The following is an 18,578-nucleotide window of genomic DNA, read 5'->3' as shown; positions in this document are numbered from 1 at the left end:
AGACAGTTAATACAGGTATCCTATAAGATAAAGGTTTAACTTTAATTAAACAGTAACTTTACTTGTAAAGATTAAGGCTGTAAATTCAACTTTTTTATTCTTTAATATTTAGCTGTACCACTAACCTTTAATTGCTGATTCAACTCTCTCAAATTCTAAAAATATCCGTACTGCTTCATCATCAGGGGCACCAGGAATCTGGAAGAAAATGAGAGCGTGATGAGTAAAGGCATTTGAGATTGCATTGAATGAGTTTTCTCTTTTAAATGATTTCTCAGAGTGGATATTCTAATTATCATCATATACAGTCAAGTAGTTGTCAAATACCAAGGAAATAAGTATAATTTGTTCATCATCAAAAACGTACTGAATGCCTGTTTTTATGACAGGCATTGTTAGGTGCCAGGAACACAGGGCTAGGCAGTCTCTGACCTCATAAAGGCCCTGTGCCAGCTGATGACGTAAACAAATAATTATGTGGTCAACAAACAGCAACAGGATAAAGAAACAGAGGAAGCAGAGCTTTCAGATTAAAAAGGCTGGTGCCCTAGTGGCCTTTCACATCAGGTCTCATTTTGACTAGCTCTGTCTAGCTTTCCTAGCCCTCTGTAATTCCACCCACCTAAGCACTTCTGCTAATCCCCAACAGGCCCATCCATTCCATTTTGGTAGTCCTGATCTTCACTGTCTCCTACGAGCCATTATCCCAATCAGAATACCCTTCCCTGCAAATCCCACCTGTTCGTTTCAAAGCGCAGCCCATATCTGCTATTGCTCACAAGGCAGTCTATTTTTTCACTGATCTAATCCTTTTCTCAACTCCTGAACTTAGTCAATACTACCTAGTCTAGTAACTGAATATCTTTCAGTTATTTTATGTGTTTCTTCAACTGAACACACCACTGAGAGTACAGAGCATGCTTCCTGTAATCCAAGTGCTCTCCGCACAGTGCAGTGCATGTGAGAGGCACTAAATACTCACCAAATGACTGAAACCAAAGGCATGTCTAAGGAACTAAACTACTGAGCACGCTAGAATCAAGGTCTTCAGTCATCATACTGATCCTCAATCATGAAGCATTCCTGTTTCTTCATCAAATAAAACTTGAAATCATTGTCTTTATGTTTAAAACTGTAATAATTGAGCAAGAGAAGTACAAATAACCAACGCCTGTCACCTTCTGCAGTAAGAATGTTACTTATAGCATACCCTGTCCTGTTTGTAGAAAATGTTTTGTAATGTGCCAATTACAACTTGTGTTATAAACATCAAAAGAAAACACTCTTACTTCAAATATCACACATTTTCCAACTTTGCCATATTTTTCACATTCTTCCTTGGTTTCAACTTCCAAGTCTTCATCCACCTCTCCCGCACCAACCATGTTCTTTAAACACAAAAATAAACAAATTCAAGTACCAAGTATAACTTACAAACACCTAGCAGAGGTATATAAATATGACTTAGTGATGGTAAATGTTCTCAATCCCAAACGACATAATGAAAAATTTCATCCCCAAAGTACCCAAAAGTTAGTATTTCTTAAAACACTAAAACATATATTAAGCCTGTAAAGAGTTACAAAAGCATCTATGCAAGCACCAAAATGTATAAACTATCTGAAGCTCTAGCAATTTCAAATATTTAATTACTCACTGCAGTCTTAAACACTGTACTTAGCAAAGAGACTTACACATTAGTGAAAAATCTAAAATCAGCCTTACGTGGGATCTGCCCAAAGTATTATTTGCAAAAGTATCATTTTCAGTTTTAACTTTTAGGGGGAGCAGGGTAGGCTGGGGTGACACACACAAATCTAGGCAGGCAGAGAGCTTGCTTTCCTCAGCTTCTTACCCTTAGTAAGACCACTTTAGTAGGACACTTAAGTATTTCAGTCAGCGGATTTGAATCTGACTTCTTGGATGCATCTGTATCAAAACATACCATTAGATGTGTTACAGAACTGAGCAGCATATCATTAGATGTGTTACAGAACTGAGTCCTACTTACAATAATTAATTTAATTTCAATAGCGATCCCCACCATTTATGTCCTAGGCATCTACACAATTGGTCTCTGAGCGAAAACACAGCCTTATCTGCAATAAAAGCCTCTGCTTTGCTTTGGCATGTTTTTACAATAGCATCTGGATGTTTTGAGCCTCCACCATTACTTGCAATTTTTGCTCATCTCACTTCCCAAAGGGCTGACAGGGCATGTGAGTGATAATTCCTATAGGTGAGTTGACTTGGAGCAAACGTTCAAGGTCACGGGCCCAGGGGAATATGCAGTTACTAATCCAGCCACCGGCTGCCTTACTTCAGATAACCTCACAAGTCGGGACAACTGTTGGTTTCTGGCACTCACCTGTCAGGCTCGTGATGTATCCTAAGCTGTGCATGAACGGGGCTGCCAGAAAAGTTTTCTTCTTTCTTTAGCAAAGGAAGTTCAGCTAGGCTGACTCAAACTTAATTCCCTGATTAAAATGCTAACATATGTTTGTCTCTTTCCTGAATTCCCTCAACACAGAACAGACTGTAAAAATTAAATGAAAATAAAACACCAACTAGGCATCATTTACCAAGAGACTGCAACATAACATCAGATCTCGCAAAGCAAACAATCTGTAAGAGAATCAGAAATCACATCTATACTGAAAGGGCAAAAGGGAAAAGTAGAGACGACCTCTGAGATGGAGATAGCAGGTATATTCACTGCCACACTATATGGCTCTGTCCTTCATGCTCTAAACACATAACCAAGATTTCTTCCTGAGGACTACTCATTTTCTGCCCAAGTCTCTCACCATCTTTTCCTCCACAAGCCTTCATCTCTCTACGTCTGTTCTGAAAAAATAAAGATGAGCCTCAGGATTCCTGGTTTCACAAAACGGAAGTGGCAGTGCATCATATGAACAGGACGGCCTGTGTTCTAGTGATGGCAGGGCCAGCCCTCTCCCTCTGGCCACACGCCTCATTGTCCCCCTGCTGACACATGAGGATCAAGACTGGCCATGTCTGATATGGATGGGGCCAGTCCTTTCCCTCTAGTCACACGCTTCCCTGGGGACACACCTTTCTCTGTGGCGTCGCCCACGATGATCTTGCCGCCACGCTTGCTGGTCTTCTCCACTGACAAGGCAGTGCTCAGGCCCTGCTCATGCTTCCCCAGACCCTGGCCCTCCCGGAAGCCGTACTTCTGCATGATCTTGTGCGCCACCGTGCCCCTGGCAGGAGAAGAAGGGAAAGGACTCTTAGCCTTGACATCGTCAACTGGAGATAGGTTGCATTTTTCCATCACAACAACCTCCTTCTGGAGAGAGTGCATGCTCCACAGGGGCTTCAACAAAGTCACTCATTAACTAGGAGTGGGCTATTAGATGGAAGCTGTGGGGATGTGCAGCATGAAAGAAATAGAAAAAGCTATGAATAAAATCCAGAACATCCTGTTGTCTTGGAGGGGAAATGTCAGTTTCTCTGGTGGAGTCTCCTCAGTGCCCTGCTAGGAAACACAAGACCTTTTGTGTGCTCCGGACCTGCACTGCCACATAGCTTATGACCACAGTTTATTAAAAAGTGGCTATCAAAAAGTAAGTATGAAGTTTCGTACAATGAAGATGATCCCATTTTCCTAAATAGCACAGGAGAGTTTCCAATGACAGACTATACAAATGAAAGAACCCTTAGAGATCACCTATTTAACAAATGAGAAATAAACGGAGGCCAAGATTAGCTGACTAGCTTAAGGGGTGGACTTAGAAGTAATGCAAGACGCCATATTAGAAATTATTTGTACAGGCTGGGTGCAGTTGATCACACTTATAATCCCAGCACTTTGGGAAGCCGAGGCGGGTGGATCACCTGAGGTCAGGAGTTCAAGACCAGCCTGGCCAACATGGTGAAACCTCATCTCTACTAAAAATGTAAAAATTAGCTGGGCATGATGGTGTGCACCTGTAGTCCCAGCTACTTGGCAGGCTGAGGCAGGAGAACTGCTTGAACCTGGGAGGCAGAGGTTGCAGTGAGGCGAGATCGCACCACTGCACTCCAGCCTGGGCGACAGAGCGAGACTCCATCTCAGAAAACAAATAAATTATTTGTACAGCTGTTAATGGTAGAGCTGAAACTGGACCCCACAACTCTCAGTCACTGCTTTCTGTAACAACCAAATGGCTCTCACACTGCGCTCTGAGGCGCAGCATGGGTCTGAAGGGCACCCCAACCCCATGACCACTGCTGCTTAGGGCTTAAGCCACAAAATCCCGCTTCAACTGGAACTGCACCTACATTACTTCTTGTATTTAATTCCCTTAACATTTTCATTTGAACAAGCTATTCTAGGGCTAAAAAGACCAGAAACTGCTGAATGGTACCATCTTGCATCTTTCCTAAGCACAAGTTAAAGATGTAATTCCTGGTTAAAAGCAAATTCGCTAAAAAGTCAGTTTTTATCATAAACAGGGAAAACAAAACAAAACAAAACAAAACCAGCTTCATGTCTGTCCAACCCTCCAGTACACAAAGCTTCCTGCAGCCACGGCCATGTCCTATGTCTGCACCATCCAACATCGTCACCACTTGCATGTGGTCACTGAGCACTTGAAAGGAGACTAGTGAGTTTCAACCCCACTCACTGTCTCACCGGCTGCATTTCTGCTACAGGCAGCAGCCAGCAGATGCAACACAGCACAGAACAAAGCCTTCATGTGATACTGCTTCATGGGACAGCCGTCTCACAGGATCAAAGTCAACAACACAGAATATCCTCTTAACCAAAATGTTTGCCAAGCCCAGCACAGTTTAAAAAAATCCCCAAGCCCCACCTGAGCGTCAGCCTTACAGTCAAATTTTATATGCTGGCAAACATGTCAACTTGTAGTTAGAATGACCCCGAGTTTTTTAGACCAAAGGTTTAGAACCATGACCTGAAAGCAAATGGCCCACTTTATCAGGAAAAAAAAGGTATCACCTGCCCTTTGGAGACAGTAAGTCAGCTCTGATTCATATGAGCTATTTTATTTGCAAACGTTATGAAGGCAAATGTAAACATTAATCAGGTTCTGTGCCTGTCTAGGAAAATAATGTTCAACATCAAAATGAGTCAAAACTTCTACTGGGAGGTTGCTGTTTTGAACAAGCCCCATCATTACACTGGAACACGCTCCACACGATTGAGGCAGGTACCGTGTGACCTGCACACACCAAGGGTCCTGAATGTCCTCAGTTTCAAACAAGCTGCATCTATTGAAAGGGCTATCAACGCTTCACACTGTCTCTCAAGTCCTTAGATAAGAACATTAAATCATTACCCCATGTTAGCGAGGAAGGAGTTGCTAGGTCCGGTTGGAGATCTCGGTCTGTCTTGTTCCTCGTACACTGGGGGAGGAATGGCTGCTTTGGAAGACTGTGATCGAGGTCTTGAGTCCTCTTCATAAGGAAAATCTCGGGGTACTATTGGAGAAAAATAAAGTAGGCTCACCAAAATACTATAGAAAACACTCTGAAACCTCACTTGTATCAATTATTTATCTTGAACAAATTTAACCTACTTTTTGGTTTACCACAAGGAGAGAAAAACACCAAATCAATTTTACAGCCTTTATACGACTTTTTTTAAAACCACAGAGGGAGGACGCTACTTTCCTGATTCTAACTTTCCTTTTGCTATTTCTATCTCCTCAAACGTCTTTTTTATATCTTACTGAAATGTTATTCACCCTTTAAAATCTTCTTGAATGAATATTCTTGCCGGAAAGATGTTCTGTATGTTCTAAGGAGATACAATCTGGCCATCTTTTGACTCCTGCAGTAACTTGGGTGCACCTGTCTAGACCCCGACCTCACTATCTCATCAGCTCATGGCCCACAAAGGTGTCCGAGGTTAGGGGCTACGCACTGGAGCGGTGGCTTCAACCCTAGTTAGATGAAAGTCAGTAGGACGCTTTAAGACCATCCAGATGCCTGAGCCCCACTCCCAGAGACTAGTTTCAATTGGGGTTTATTGTTTGTCTGTTGTTTTCACATAATAGGTATTTCATAATATCTTAGAAATTATCTTCTTTAAAAGATAAAGAATTCAACAAGTTTTAAAAAGTACTATAAATGAGAATATCTGCTTGGGATAGTTTAAGTATGGTCCAATCCAGAGAATGGGAAAATGACCTAGATGATATTCAGAAGTCCAGTCCCAACCCCCAAATTCTAGAGCAGATCACTGCGAGAAGGAACAGTGGGTGAGGGTGTTTTGGCAACGCAATGACACGCAAACCCACCTGCAGTGAAATGGAACGGGAAGAAAAAATCTAATCAAGGAAGGCATTGCCACCTTGTGGAGGATCATGAATATAACAGCCTCTAAACCTCTGAGTTAAAAAACTGTAACGATCTGCTGTTTTAACTCCAAATGAATCTAACAACAAATAAGAAATGTTAATGAAATCAAAGTGAATTGCATAAAAAAGAGATGGATCCCACTGCATGAAATCCAAGCCTCAGAGCCTGGCGTAGAAAGGTCTCTCTCTGCAGGAGGGCGCTGCATTCTGAGATCCAGGTGCGGCCTCAGGTGACAGAGCCAGGCAGGCTTGCAGGCCGTTTCCCTCTACGCTCAGGAAACCTGGGGGCCCAAGCTGAGATCCCCCATGGTTGGGTTAAAGACCTGTATCAGAATAAAAGAGGAAGAAACAGATCTACTTACACTCTTTGTCTTTCTCTACCAGAGAAGTGGGTGGGGCAATGGCAGCTCCGCCCATACCTGCAAAACCACAAATCCAAGCATTAAAGGAGGTTTCCGATGCCAGACTCCCAAACGACTATGACACACCATATATCTATCACCCACCCCCCTAAGAAAAAACTAAAAAAGGAGGACCTGCTACTTCAGATGACCTCCTGCTACATATGAACAAACCTCTGATGCTAGGATTTAAAATGTAGAAAAGTGGCAACACTCCCTCAGATATGCAAAATTGTTCCTTCATAAAAGGAACTCAAGAGCCCCACAATGTAGTCTGCAAATGAATTTTAAGGCAAAACAATACAACCAAGAGAACCAGCAGTTACTTAAAAAGAGAGTAATGTAACTATTTACCGAGAGCAATACCCATTAGGCCCTTTATACACATGGCCTCGTTCAGGCTTCACAGACCTCTGAAGTAGATATTACTGCATCCAGTTTACAAATAAGAGAATGATCAGAGGGGAGTGAATCAACAGAAAGGGAGTAAACCCAGCTCCCTGCGTTGCCATATCTCCCCCACCACACAGCACGCTCCTTTTCCAGTGTGCAAACCACTGGAACTAAACACATATTTGAAAGCGTGGGTCCTTCTGGCTCCTGAAGAAACTGCTGCGTGTTGTCACTATTCCTGGTGTATTTCCTGGACAACGAATGGTGAACACAAACAAACCAAAAGAGATAAGACAGATCTTTTTATCTGGTATCCGACAACTGGAAGGAGAACATCAGTGGAGACCACAAGGAATTTTGCATTAGGCATAAGTCCTAACATATATGGATTACGTATACATAATATTACATAATACATATGTATTATGGCTTAATCAACAATGAAATAAAAACAAAATGTAAAACTTTAAAAATTGATTACAAAGTCATGCTGCATCAGCACAAAATGTTTGACAAAAGAAATTATTCTGGCTGGACGCAGTGGTTCACTCCTGTAATCCCAGCACTTTGAGAGGCTGAGGCAGGCAAATCACTTGAGGCTAGGAGTTTGAGACCAGCCTGATCAACATGGTGAAACCCCATCTCTACTAAAAATGCAAAAATCAGCTGGGCATGGTGGCACACACCTGTAATCCCAGCTACTTGGGAGGCTGAGGCAGAAGAATCATTTGAAACTAGGAGATGGAGGTTGCAGTGAGCCGAGATGGCGCCACTGCACTCCAGCCTGGGCAACAGAGCAAGAGTGTCTCCAAAAAAAAAAAAAAAAAAAAAGAGGCCGGGTGCAGTGGCTCATACCTGTAATCCCAGGACTTTGGGAGGCTGAGGTGGGTGGATCACTTGACGTCAGGAGTTTGAGACCAGCCTGGCAAACATGGTGAAACCCTGTCTCTACTAAAAATGTAAAAATTAGATGGGCGTGGTAGCGCACACCTGTAATCCCAGCTACTCTGGAGGCCGAGGCAAGAGAATTGCTAGAACCCAGGAGGTTGCAGGTTGTGGTGAGCCGAGATTGCACCACTGCACTCCTGCCTGGGCAACAGAGTGATTCCATCTCAAAAATAAATAAATTCATTCTTCTAAAGAATTATTCTAGAAATTATTCTAAAGCCAGTGTCCATGCATTTTGATTAACAGGACTGGATGATATAAAATCCTCAAGGAGAAATATGAACCTGAGTAAAACCTTCTTCTATTTCCTTTGAAATACTTCCATGATCATTTTACTAACCTTGTCACTAGGACCTAGAGTGATTACTGATTCTGAAAAGCAGATTAGCTCTAATAAGTTCAGTTAAAAAAATTCAGGGTGATTACTGGAAATCTGCTACTAATCACATTAAAATAAGAACATCAATCTGTCAACAACTATACATATGATGGGCATGCCACTACCTCCCTATCATGAGCTACAAGGTCAAACAAAGTCTTCTCATTCAAAGCTATCTAGTTCCTGCTGGTGTTTAAGAAAAAAAAACAAATGTCCTTAGTATGGAAAGCATGCCTCCTTATTAAAAAGGGCAGTCAATTTATAAGCTGGAAAAATGAGACCTACAAATATTCAACCTATATACTGAATTCCAAAAGAAGTTAATAAAAACCAAACATTTGGGGATTAACTAAGATAGCGGATATGAAATGTGTCACAATGCCCAAAACAGACACACTCAATGTTAACTATGCTTCCCCCCTAAGAGAAACAACAGAGTGGATTCAGCATCGGCCAACTGGACTGTGCTGCAGGTAAAGACAGTGCAGGAATAGATTTTAAGCTAGTCCCAAAGTATCCAATAAATAAATGTTAGAAAGTGGTTGTGAAGCTCAAAGGAAAATACATATGAAAACCCAATATAAATTAAAACTGTGACGCAAATGTGTATTGCTGGGATTCCAGAAAGAAAATTACCCAAATCAATGTCAAATGAACTATTTATCAAACTGAAAAGAAAAAGCACATAGTGGAATTGCACTTCCAGTATTTATATATGTTTAAGACATATTTGTTCATGCCTTACTTCTTTTCCTCCTCTCTCGCTCATAATCTTCATCTTCATCAGAATCTGGATCTGGTCTCCTTGCAAACCCACTTGCTTCATGTCTGTCTTTACGCCTTCTGTGATAACAAAGGAAATAAATGTTCATCACAGATGAACCAATTTAGAGACCTGAACCTGGGATGACTTCCTCTTGACCAGAAGATATCCAAATCCTGTCACAATCAACTATGAAGTTGCAGGGGTAGAGGGGGTAGGAAGCATAACTGGTAAAAGACTAAAGTAGATAAAAGTATGAAAAGTGAGAAAAATTCAAGAGATAAATTGAACCAATAAGTATACGAGAGCAACCAGCATGAAAAAAAAGGTTCCTTGACATTGACCTCTTCCAATGTTAAAGCCTATCAACATAGTAATAGTTCAATCATTTCAATAGTCTATAACACTTTCACTCATGAAATGATTCAATAAATGGGAAACAGTATATTAATATTTAATACATGTTAACTATTTGATAATACTAAATATTTTTAAAAAGAACTACAAATACATCCTACTACTCGTACTTTGCAAAAACATAAATAAAAGCTGCATATGAATTTTTAAAAATTCCACCTGGCTCAAAAATAGTAAAGTTAAGAAGAATATTTCAAGTACTTTAAATAGCTGTGATTTTACAAGTTGAGAATCCCTTATTCCAAATGCCTGGGACCAGAAGTGTTTCAAATTTTGGAATATTTGCATTACAATTACCAGTTCAGCATCCCTAAGCCAAAATCCCCCAATGCACATTTCCTTTGAGCGGCATGTTGGCATTCAAAAGATTTTGGAGCATTTCAGATTTCGGATTTTTGAATAAGGGATAGTCAACCTATAGCAGAGTATCAGCATAGAAAAAAATTTTCAACATCAGGTTTATAAGTTATTTTTCTAACAACTCACTCAAAATATACACTTTAGGTCTTCAGTCTACAGGTGAAGTTTGCTGTGATTCTGAGATGTAACAGGTACAAATCGTAAAACAGTTTGATTCCTTGTAGTGACTGCTCAGATCACCCATGACAATTAACTTCAGCCTTACAGACAGCAGCGACGCTCATTCGTTAACATTTTAATGAACATTTCAACTGTAAAATATCCCCAAATCCAAAGGAAGCCTTACTTTTCCCTTTCTTCTATTTCCTTTTGTCTTTCCAGCTCCCGCTGTCTCTGTCGTTCCTCTCTTTGGCGCTTCACTACTTTCTCATAATCATTAGGAAACATAGGGTCATATTCGTCAGCTAAGGGAATCAGAACTTCCCCTGCAGAAAACCCACTGGGAACAGGATCCTGAGGAAGGTAAAAACAGCAGTAAGAATCCTCTTTATATCTTACCAGTTTACTCACAGGATTCAGGTCAAAGCGTATGGGAGATAAAAGGACTCTGAACATCATCTAGCCCCTTCCTCTGTTTTAAAGACAAAGAAAACAAATACCAGACAAGGCCACGTGCCTAGTCAGGTGGTAGCAGAAACAGGACACAAAATTTCACCTCTTAGATTAGTACTATTTCTATAATACTCTATGGCATTTTTCCTGGAATTCCTAAATAAGCCACCACCAGCTAAAATATAAGTTACTAGTACTTTGAGTCAAAAAATTAGAATACTTATAGTAAAGCACTGAATACTTGTTTTTATAGATCTCTATGACAACTTAAAAAATAAAACAACCATGAACACCACAATCATTCTTGCAGTCATCATTTTAACAGAATAACTTCAGATTCTGATTACATGGAGATAAGAATATATGGAGATCTTAGAAAGCATCTTCTTGGTCTTTCTAATCCTCTGAACACATGTCCCTTCCCAGGTAGGCTGCATTTCAGGCACTGAGTTTGACACAAGGGGATGTAATGTCCCTTCCAGCATCATAATTTTTTTTAAGGTTCACTAAAATCAGGTTTAGATAACACTTCGTGTTTTCTCGTCTATACATTCAGAAACTTGGTCTACTCTTTGAAAGAAAAGAGGTAGCCATGACAAAGAAATTAGCAAAACGAGAGGCAGAGCACAGCCAGTATACTAGGAAATACATGAGCAGACACAGAACTTTACCCTAGGCTGGCAGCCTCGGTCTACACGTGGTGCTGGAAGCCCTGACCCCACTTTCCTAAACCTTCCCACACTTTCTCCTGTTAGTGTTCTTAGCATAATTCTTCGTTATTATCTGTAACAATAAGATGCCTTCTCTGGTTTTGAAAGACACCTCAAACAAGCACAGGTTAGGATTAGTGTCCCCATTTTTTTTAAAACACACATGCAAAACAACAAGGATTCATGTCCTTGAGCGCCCAGTCTGTACCTCTTACAGGAGGTACAATGTCCAACTGTATCAAAGGCAAGAAGGTCGTTTGTAAACGTGTTTCCTGCTTGAACACAGAACTGACAAAATCAAGACAGCTTACACGCCATATTAACAGACCTAAATCGAACAGTTCCTGTGTTTCATGGTTCGGTGTGACATTTTGCACTATAAAACAAACACTTCACCATTTCCTTACGACGAAATATCAGGAAATGCTATGATCCAATGAATAAGAGCAATTAGGAAAATAACTATAATCACCTCCCAGGCCCTACCCACTGGAAAATGTATTTAATGTAGGGCTCCTAAAGGTTAGTTATACATTTGTATTCATTTTATAAAAGACATTTAAAAAATACAAAAGCACATGAAGATTTCTTTTCAGTTATTATTTAGAGAGAAAATGACAACCAGCCACTCAATTTATCTAACACAATTATCACAACGTGTCTAAGAGAACAAACTGTCAATATGAAGGTTCATTCTCTGACACTTCAAAATTTCAAAGAAAAAAACTTTTACATATAAACCCTGCTATGCTTAACAATGAAATCAATCATCCTTTTCTAAATGCTGCAATGAATAAAGTGATTTGTTCAATTTAAAAAAATTAAAATGTTAATACCCTCAATGCTGAGGGGGGAGGATGGGGTAAAATTCACCCTCATATGCCTGAGGTGATACTGTGCACTGCTGGGAGTAAACTGGTGCCAGAACAGATTGGCCATAAAAATGGCTGATATCTTAATGCCACCTCAGAAAATCTAAGAAAATAACCCTAATTACATAGAAACATCTCTGTAAAGATGTTCATTAGAGGGCCGGGTGCAGTGGCTCATGCCTGTAATCTCAGCAATTTCGGAGGCCAAGGCATGTGGATCGTTTGAGCTCAGGAGTTCAAAACTAGCCTGGGCAACATGGTGAAACCTCATCTCTACAAAAAATTAGTCAAATGTGGTGGCATATGCCTGTGGTCCTAACTACTCAGTAGACTGAGGTGGAAGGATCGCTTGAGCCCAGGAGGAGGAGGCTGCAGTGAGCCAAGATTGCACCACTGCTCTCCAGCGTGGTGACAGAGCAAGACCCTGTCTCAAAAATAAAAACCACAAAAAGATGTTCATTAGAGTGGTATTTATAAAGGCAATGTAAAAGCAAATCTAGGTGGTTTTACAGTTAGGGAATACTTGTGTAAATTATGATGCATTCGCTTAATGAGAATTAAAAACTGATCGTGAAAACTATGTAACAAGGAGGAAAAAGGCTTACTCATTAAATAGGAGACTAATATTATAGGTACTAGAACCAATACACGATTACAGAAGAAACTATGAACCAGTTTTTAAATTAGATGTAGCAGGAATAAACTAGGTATCAAATTTATGGGGGAAAATGCTCAATGACTAGGAATCAGCAAAAAAACACCTCCACCATGTGGTGCTTCCCCTCCAGAAGAACTACCAGCCCTCAGGAACAGCACCCGCTCCCCTCAGAAAAGGACAACTCAAGGGTAAGCTGCAGCCACAGACTGGCCCAGAACATAAGCAGGACAGGCAGGAGACGGAGCCCAACCCAGAACAGTGACGTGAAACAGATGGGCAGGAGTGTGCCCTTTGCCCCAGCCTGATGCAGCCCTTCCCACAGGTGGTGGGGAGGACAGGCGCGCCTTGCTAAGAAACTGTCTCGATAGCACTATTATTAATCTTTTGGTCATTTTTCATCAAGCGGTTTTGTGCAATTCATGATGCTGTTTAAATGACCACAGTCATTATTTGAACGCCATCTGTGGAAAGATAAATGTATACTTAAATTGTGGGTATAATTTTAACTAGTTTATTCACTCATTTTACCTCATTTTGTCTAGTTTTAACTATGATTTTGAGTTATCCTTTTCCAGATCTTCTTCATCCTCAATAACCCAATTTATAGAGTTGACCACATGTTTGTTTTTAAGCATATGTAAAATCACTGGAATCATACAGGTTAGGGTGGTAGAAGTGGGTTTTAAAACCCCTTTCTCTGTTTTAATCCACAATAAATCAGTAAGTACTAACACTGTTTATGATAGCAAAAAATAGAAACAACCCATATATCCAGCATTAAAGGAATTAAATTATAGTCCATCTATATACAAGGGAATATAGTGAAGCCATAAACGTGATCATACAGTCCTGTATTTTTTGACAGAGTCACAACGTATTAAGTAAGAAAAGCAAGTTAGCAGAAGGTGGAGTAGGCACAGGATGGAAAAATATTACGTTTTTCACTTCCGGATTGTATGACTGAAGGTAATTTGTTTTTCTTTCTGCGTATCTCTAGTTTCTGATTTTTCTACAACAAACTATTTAATTTCAAATAGATACATTTTAAAATTGGCAAAACAGAAGTAAAAATTAGGTGGAAAATGATACTAACTTGGTTTCAAAGGCCCACCAAGGAGGCCATCTGTTAAGAGTAACTCATATGCAAAATAAGCCACATGGGAACAGAGACACGTATCAAGCTCACAGGCAGGCGCGGGCTTACCTTCAGCCCAGCTGCTACATGCGGTGGAGTGTCCACAATTTGCCGGTCATCTGAGGAGCCACCTCGCTTCAGGTCAATGACTGGGGCGAGGACTGTACTTTGTTTCGTCCTTTGGCTCTAAAATCATCAAAAACAAGGAAAACATACTGAAGTTTCAAATTAAAATTCACACTGTTTGCAACAAAGATTTTCTTTCTGGTCCCTGCAACAAACCTTTGAGATATGAGAAAACCATAATCTCAAAACAACAGCCTTTTAATTTATTACTATAATCATATATTATTTTCTTTCAGCTTTTTCAAAAACATGAGATTTTCTCCATTTCTGTGAAAGGTTTACAGTAAACTTAGTCACTTTCAAAAGATACTTGGGGATAAGAGTTTTGTTCCCTCCTACTAGGATATAGAATCCTTCCTATCTCCTTTATTATGAATCTACAAAAAAAAGTTTTTAAAAGAAAATCATTTCTATACATTCAATTATTGTTAATGTTCTACCATACTTCTTGCCCTTACACCTGTATTTTTTGCTAGACCATTTGAAAGAAAGTTGGAGACATCATGACACTTCACCCCAATCTCCTGAAACCGTGGACATTCTCCTGTCAGATTACTACCCCTAATAAAATCACTAATTCCCATGTCATTTCCCATCCAGTTCACATTCAGATTCTCCAAGATATCCCAAAAATGTCCTTTAAACAGCTGATTTTTTTTTTGAACCAGGATCCTACCAAAGTTCCTGAAATGCTTTTGGTTTTTAAGTGTCTTGATTAAGAACAGTCCCTCTTCCCCATCATCATCATCACCATCATCTTCATCTCCTCTTCCTTTTTTTCCTCTGACACTATCTTGTAAAATGCTGTTTGTTCTAGATCTGTCTAATAACTACCTGGTTATTTAGTTGAGCTTGTTCCTCTATGCCTTGTAATTCCTGAAACCTGGAGGTTAAAGGCCTGATCGAATTCAGGGTAAAGCTTTTAGGCAGGAACACTTCCCAGGTGAGGCAGTGTGCCCCTTCCTGCAACACACAGCAGGCACACTGCGTCAGGCCGTCTAACAGCAATGCTAAGGTTGATCATATGGGTATGGTGGTAACCATTAGATCTTTTGATTAGAAAGGTTTAATTTTTCTCTTTTGCAATTTAAAGTGTTACAAATTTTCATTACCACTATAAAAGGCACAAAATAAGCCTTCATCTCTCTTGAATATAACAATACTTATAAATTTAAGCAAACAAAATTTAATCCAATTAACAACTCACAAAGTAAATACGAAAGTTTACAGAACGGAAGGGGGATTTATTAGAATCACATATTTTCTTTCTTTCTTTTTTTTTGAGATGGAGTCTTGCTCTGTCACCAGGCTGGAGTTCGATCTCGGCTCACTGCAACCTCCGCCTCCCAGGTTGAAGCAACTCTCCTGTCTCAGCCTCCAGAGTAGCTGGGATTACAGATGCACGCCACCACACCGGGCTAATATTTGTATTTTTATTAGAGATAAGGTTTCACCATGTTGGTCAGGCTGGTCTCAAACTCCTGACCTCAGGTGATCCACCCGCCTTGGCCTCCCAAAGTGCTGGGATTACAGGTGTGAGCCACCACGCCCAGCCAGAATCACATATTTTCTATTATTATTATTTTCTATTCAATATAGAGTTGGCCCTCTGTATCTACAGGTTCCACATCTAACCCCAGGCTGAAAATATTAAGAAAATAAAACAATACAACAAAAAATACAAATAAAAAAACCAATACGGTATAACAACTTTTTACACAGCATTTACATTGTGTTAGGTATTGCAAGCAATCCACAGATGATTTAAAATATGGGAGGATGTGTGTTAGTTACGTGCAAATACCACACCATTTTATATAAGGGACTTGGGCACGCTTGGATTTTGGTATGGGCAGGGGGGTCCTGGAACCAATCCCCTGTGGACACCAAGAAACAACTGTATTTTTTCAAATGGAGATACAAATGAAACCACAGCTTCAAATTTTCTCTACCAAATAAATACCTTTACAGGTTTGGCTAGGCCAATCTAGTATTCTGAGTAACTAAACAGCCTAAGAGAATGCAATCTTCACTTCCCTTAAAAAAAAAAACCCACAAAACTAACTGTACATAGCAATCTCAAAAGTTTTATAAAGTTAGTAGAAATAACTTCACAAGCTACCTCAAGTTTTAAAAATCTATATGAGGCCGGGCACGGTGGCTCACACCTGCATCTTCCCTGCAAAGCAAAAGTTACATGAAATCTACAAAGATTTTATAAATGTACTTTTAAAAAAAATTAAAGAGAAAAACGAGGTTTTGCTAACCCTCCTTACATTTGGAATGAAACCTTGTTTTAAAAAAAACACAAAATACTGGCATCCAAAAAATCTAAATTTGGTAATGATGAATTTTAAAAACACAAAAAAACCTCTCTACAATACTGAACAATCAAATGTAAGCACTTCCATGTAAGTATCTATTGATGTGGTAAAGGGAAAAGAAAAATGAGTAGAACTTTTAAGAAAAAAAACCTGTGTATTGGCCGGACACGGTGGCTCACGCCTGTAATCCCAGCACTTTGGGAGACCAAGGCAGGCGGATCACGAGGTCAGGAAATCGAGACCATCCTGGCTTACAAGGTGAAACACCGCAGGCGCAGTGGTGGGCGCCTGTAGTCCCAGTTACTCAGGAGGCTGAGACAGGAGAATGGCGTGAACCTGGGAGGCGGAGCTTGCAGTGAGCTGAGATCATGCCACTGCGCTCCAGCCTGGGCTACAAAGTGAGACTACGTCTCAAAAAAAAAAAAAAAAAAAAAAAAAAAAAACAAAAAACCTGTGTATTACGGAAATTTTCAAACATGAAATTAGAGATTAATATTAATTCTTAAGTCTCTACTATCCACATCCAGTTTCAACAATTATCAACTCATGGGTAGTTCTGTTCTTCCCTCCCTCCCCTGCCCGGGACTGAATTGTTTAGAAGTAAATCCCAAAAATGACATCATCTTATCGGTAAATATTTCAGTACACATCTCTAAAGTACTTTTTCTCAACTTTAATTACTGCCTCCCCAGCAAGGAGCCTTTGACTAAATTTTCTCCCGCACATGAAATTTTCACACCACAGATACACTGTGCACAACACGAGCAAGGTTTTTTCACCCCCAAAAAGACCAATATTCGCTCTGTTTGGGGGGATATAGCCTCCATTACGAATGCATACTCTAGAACATAAAGATCTCTAAAGTAGTAAACAAACCATAATACCATTCTCATGCCTACATTTTAATGGCAAATATCCAGTCGACAACTAGGTTTTTAATGTTTTACATGTTATTTCAAGGACATTGCCAATACCCAACATGTACACAACAGAAACAAAAGCAATCAGCATCCAGACTACCTATGCCTGACGCCTTCACAATCAACCTGAGCCCTCAATAAGTTGCACGCAGCAGCTTAGGTATTCTGTGGAGCTTCTTCCCAAAGTGCTGCTTCCAAACTACCTCCACCAAACCAGTAGGAATGCTACTTAAAAATTCCCACTCCTGGGGCTCCAGCCTGAACTACAGTTTACCAGAATATCAGGAGTAAGGCTACAAAATTAGCACCTTAAACAAGTTCTCACTCAATCTTAGACCTCCACTACTTAAGTTTGAAAAGCAGTGTCACTGCTGGTTCAGAGTACTGTTTTTTTGTTTGTTTGTTTGTTTGTTTTTGAATCGGAGTCTTGCTCTGTCGCTCAGGCTGGAGCGCAGTGGCGCGATCTCGGCTCACTGCAAGCTCTGCCTCCCGGGTTCACGCCATTCTCCTGCCTCAGCCTCCCGAGTAGCTGGCAGTACAGGTGCCCACCACTGCGCCCGCGGTGTTTCACCTTGTTAGCCAGGATGGTCTGGATCTCCTGACCTCGTGATCTGCCTGCCTTGGCCTCCCAAAATGCTGGGATTACAGGCGTGAGCCACTGCGCCCAGCCCCCGCAGAGTACTGTTTTTCTTCATTCCTACCCCACGAAATGTTCCTATTCCCAGGAGCCAGGAGTAGCAAAGTGGCCTTAAACTCCTCATTCCTCTCCCCCTACAAATGCTTAACACCATTTACCCAATACAAAGGCAGAAGAGCAAGCTGAAACCAAATTCCTTGTCATCCTAATGAGGAACCCACTCTGGAGGCCTCTGCTCTCATGCTCTGGGCTTGTCTTTACCTTTGCCTGAGTGAGAGCTGCCTTCTTCACCTGAAGCTGAGACTGCAGAAGTTTGAAGTTTTTGGACCAGCCTTCTGTTTTTGAGTCACTGGTCTCCACTCCTAGGTCATCGTACAGGGACATCTTTTCTTCAGTTTAATGCTGAAAGGCAAAAGGGGTGGGGATTAAAGAATGCACAATTCAATAAAGGCTTTTCATGTTAAAATAAGTATCATGAAATTTTAGAGGTAAAAGGTCCAGGACCTTTCAGCAACAGAGGCCCAGGCTCCTGGTACCATTAATGTAGGGCTATTCCTGATACATGAAGCTAGACCATGGATTATTTTTAAA

The 18,578-nt window shown here is 40.5% G+C and overlaps 1 protein-coding gene across 2 annotated transcripts in view, besides 2 other annotated features; it reads right to left on the bottom strand.

The window, feature by feature from the left end:
- The window catches only part of RBM17 (RNA binding motif protein 17), a 28,414-nt gene that overhangs the window by 2,011 nt on the left and 7,825 nt on the right, over positions 1 to 18,578 (bottom strand). For both annotated transcript variants that reach the window (NM_032905.5, NM_001145547.2), the window contains exons 2-11: positions 18,249 to 18,389; positions 14,050 to 14,166; positions 10,340 to 10,506; positions 9,199 to 9,296; positions 6,695 to 6,751; positions 5,310 to 5,451; positions 3,076 to 3,227; positions 1,856 to 1,929; positions 1,290 to 1,388; positions 126 to 198 (exon numbers count right to left, since the gene is read on the bottom strand). In NM_032905.5, the coding sequence (NP_116294.1) occupies positions 126 to 198; positions 1,290 to 1,388; positions 1,856 to 1,929; positions 3,076 to 3,227; positions 5,310 to 5,451; positions 6,695 to 6,751; positions 9,199 to 9,296; positions 10,340 to 10,506; positions 14,050 to 14,166; positions 18,249 to 18,371 (1,102 nt within the window). In that variant the 5' untranslated portion in view covers positions 18,372 to 18,389. The remainder of the gene's footprint in view (positions 1 to 125; positions 199 to 1,289; positions 1,389 to 1,855; positions 1,930 to 3,075; positions 3,228 to 5,309; positions 5,452 to 6,694; positions 6,752 to 9,198; positions 9,297 to 10,339; positions 10,507 to 14,049; positions 14,167 to 18,248; positions 18,390 to 18,578) is intronic.
- Positions 6,932 to 7,627: an enhancer, noted in NCBI's record as "H3K27ac hESC enhancer chr10:6149773-6150468 (GRCh37/hg19 assembly coordinates)". NCBI's record gives its function as "activates a minimal SCP1, AML or CMV promoter by ChIP-STARR-seq in primed H9 embryonic stem cells {active_cell/tissue: H9 hESC(primed)}" and the evidence as "EXISTENCE:reporter gene assay evidence [ECO:0000049][PMID:30033119]".
- Positions 17,914 to 18,514: an enhancer, noted in NCBI's record as "NANOG-H3K27ac-H3K4me1 hESC enhancer chr10:6138886-6139486 (GRCh37/hg19 assembly coordinates)". NCBI's record gives its function as "activates a minimal SCP1, AML or CMV promoter by ChIP-STARR-seq in primed H9 embryonic stem cells {active_cell/tissue: H9 hESC(primed)}" and the evidence as "EXISTENCE:reporter gene assay evidence [ECO:0000049][PMID:30033119]".

The sequence above is a fragment of the Homo sapiens genome, chromosome 10 (assembly GCF_000001405.40).
Source record: "Homo sapiens chromosome 10, GRCh38.p14 Primary Assembly".
NCBI lineage: Eukaryota > Metazoa > Chordata > Mammalia > Primates > Hominidae > Homo > Homo sapiens.
This window is presented reverse-complemented; position numbering and strand designations above follow the sequence as displayed.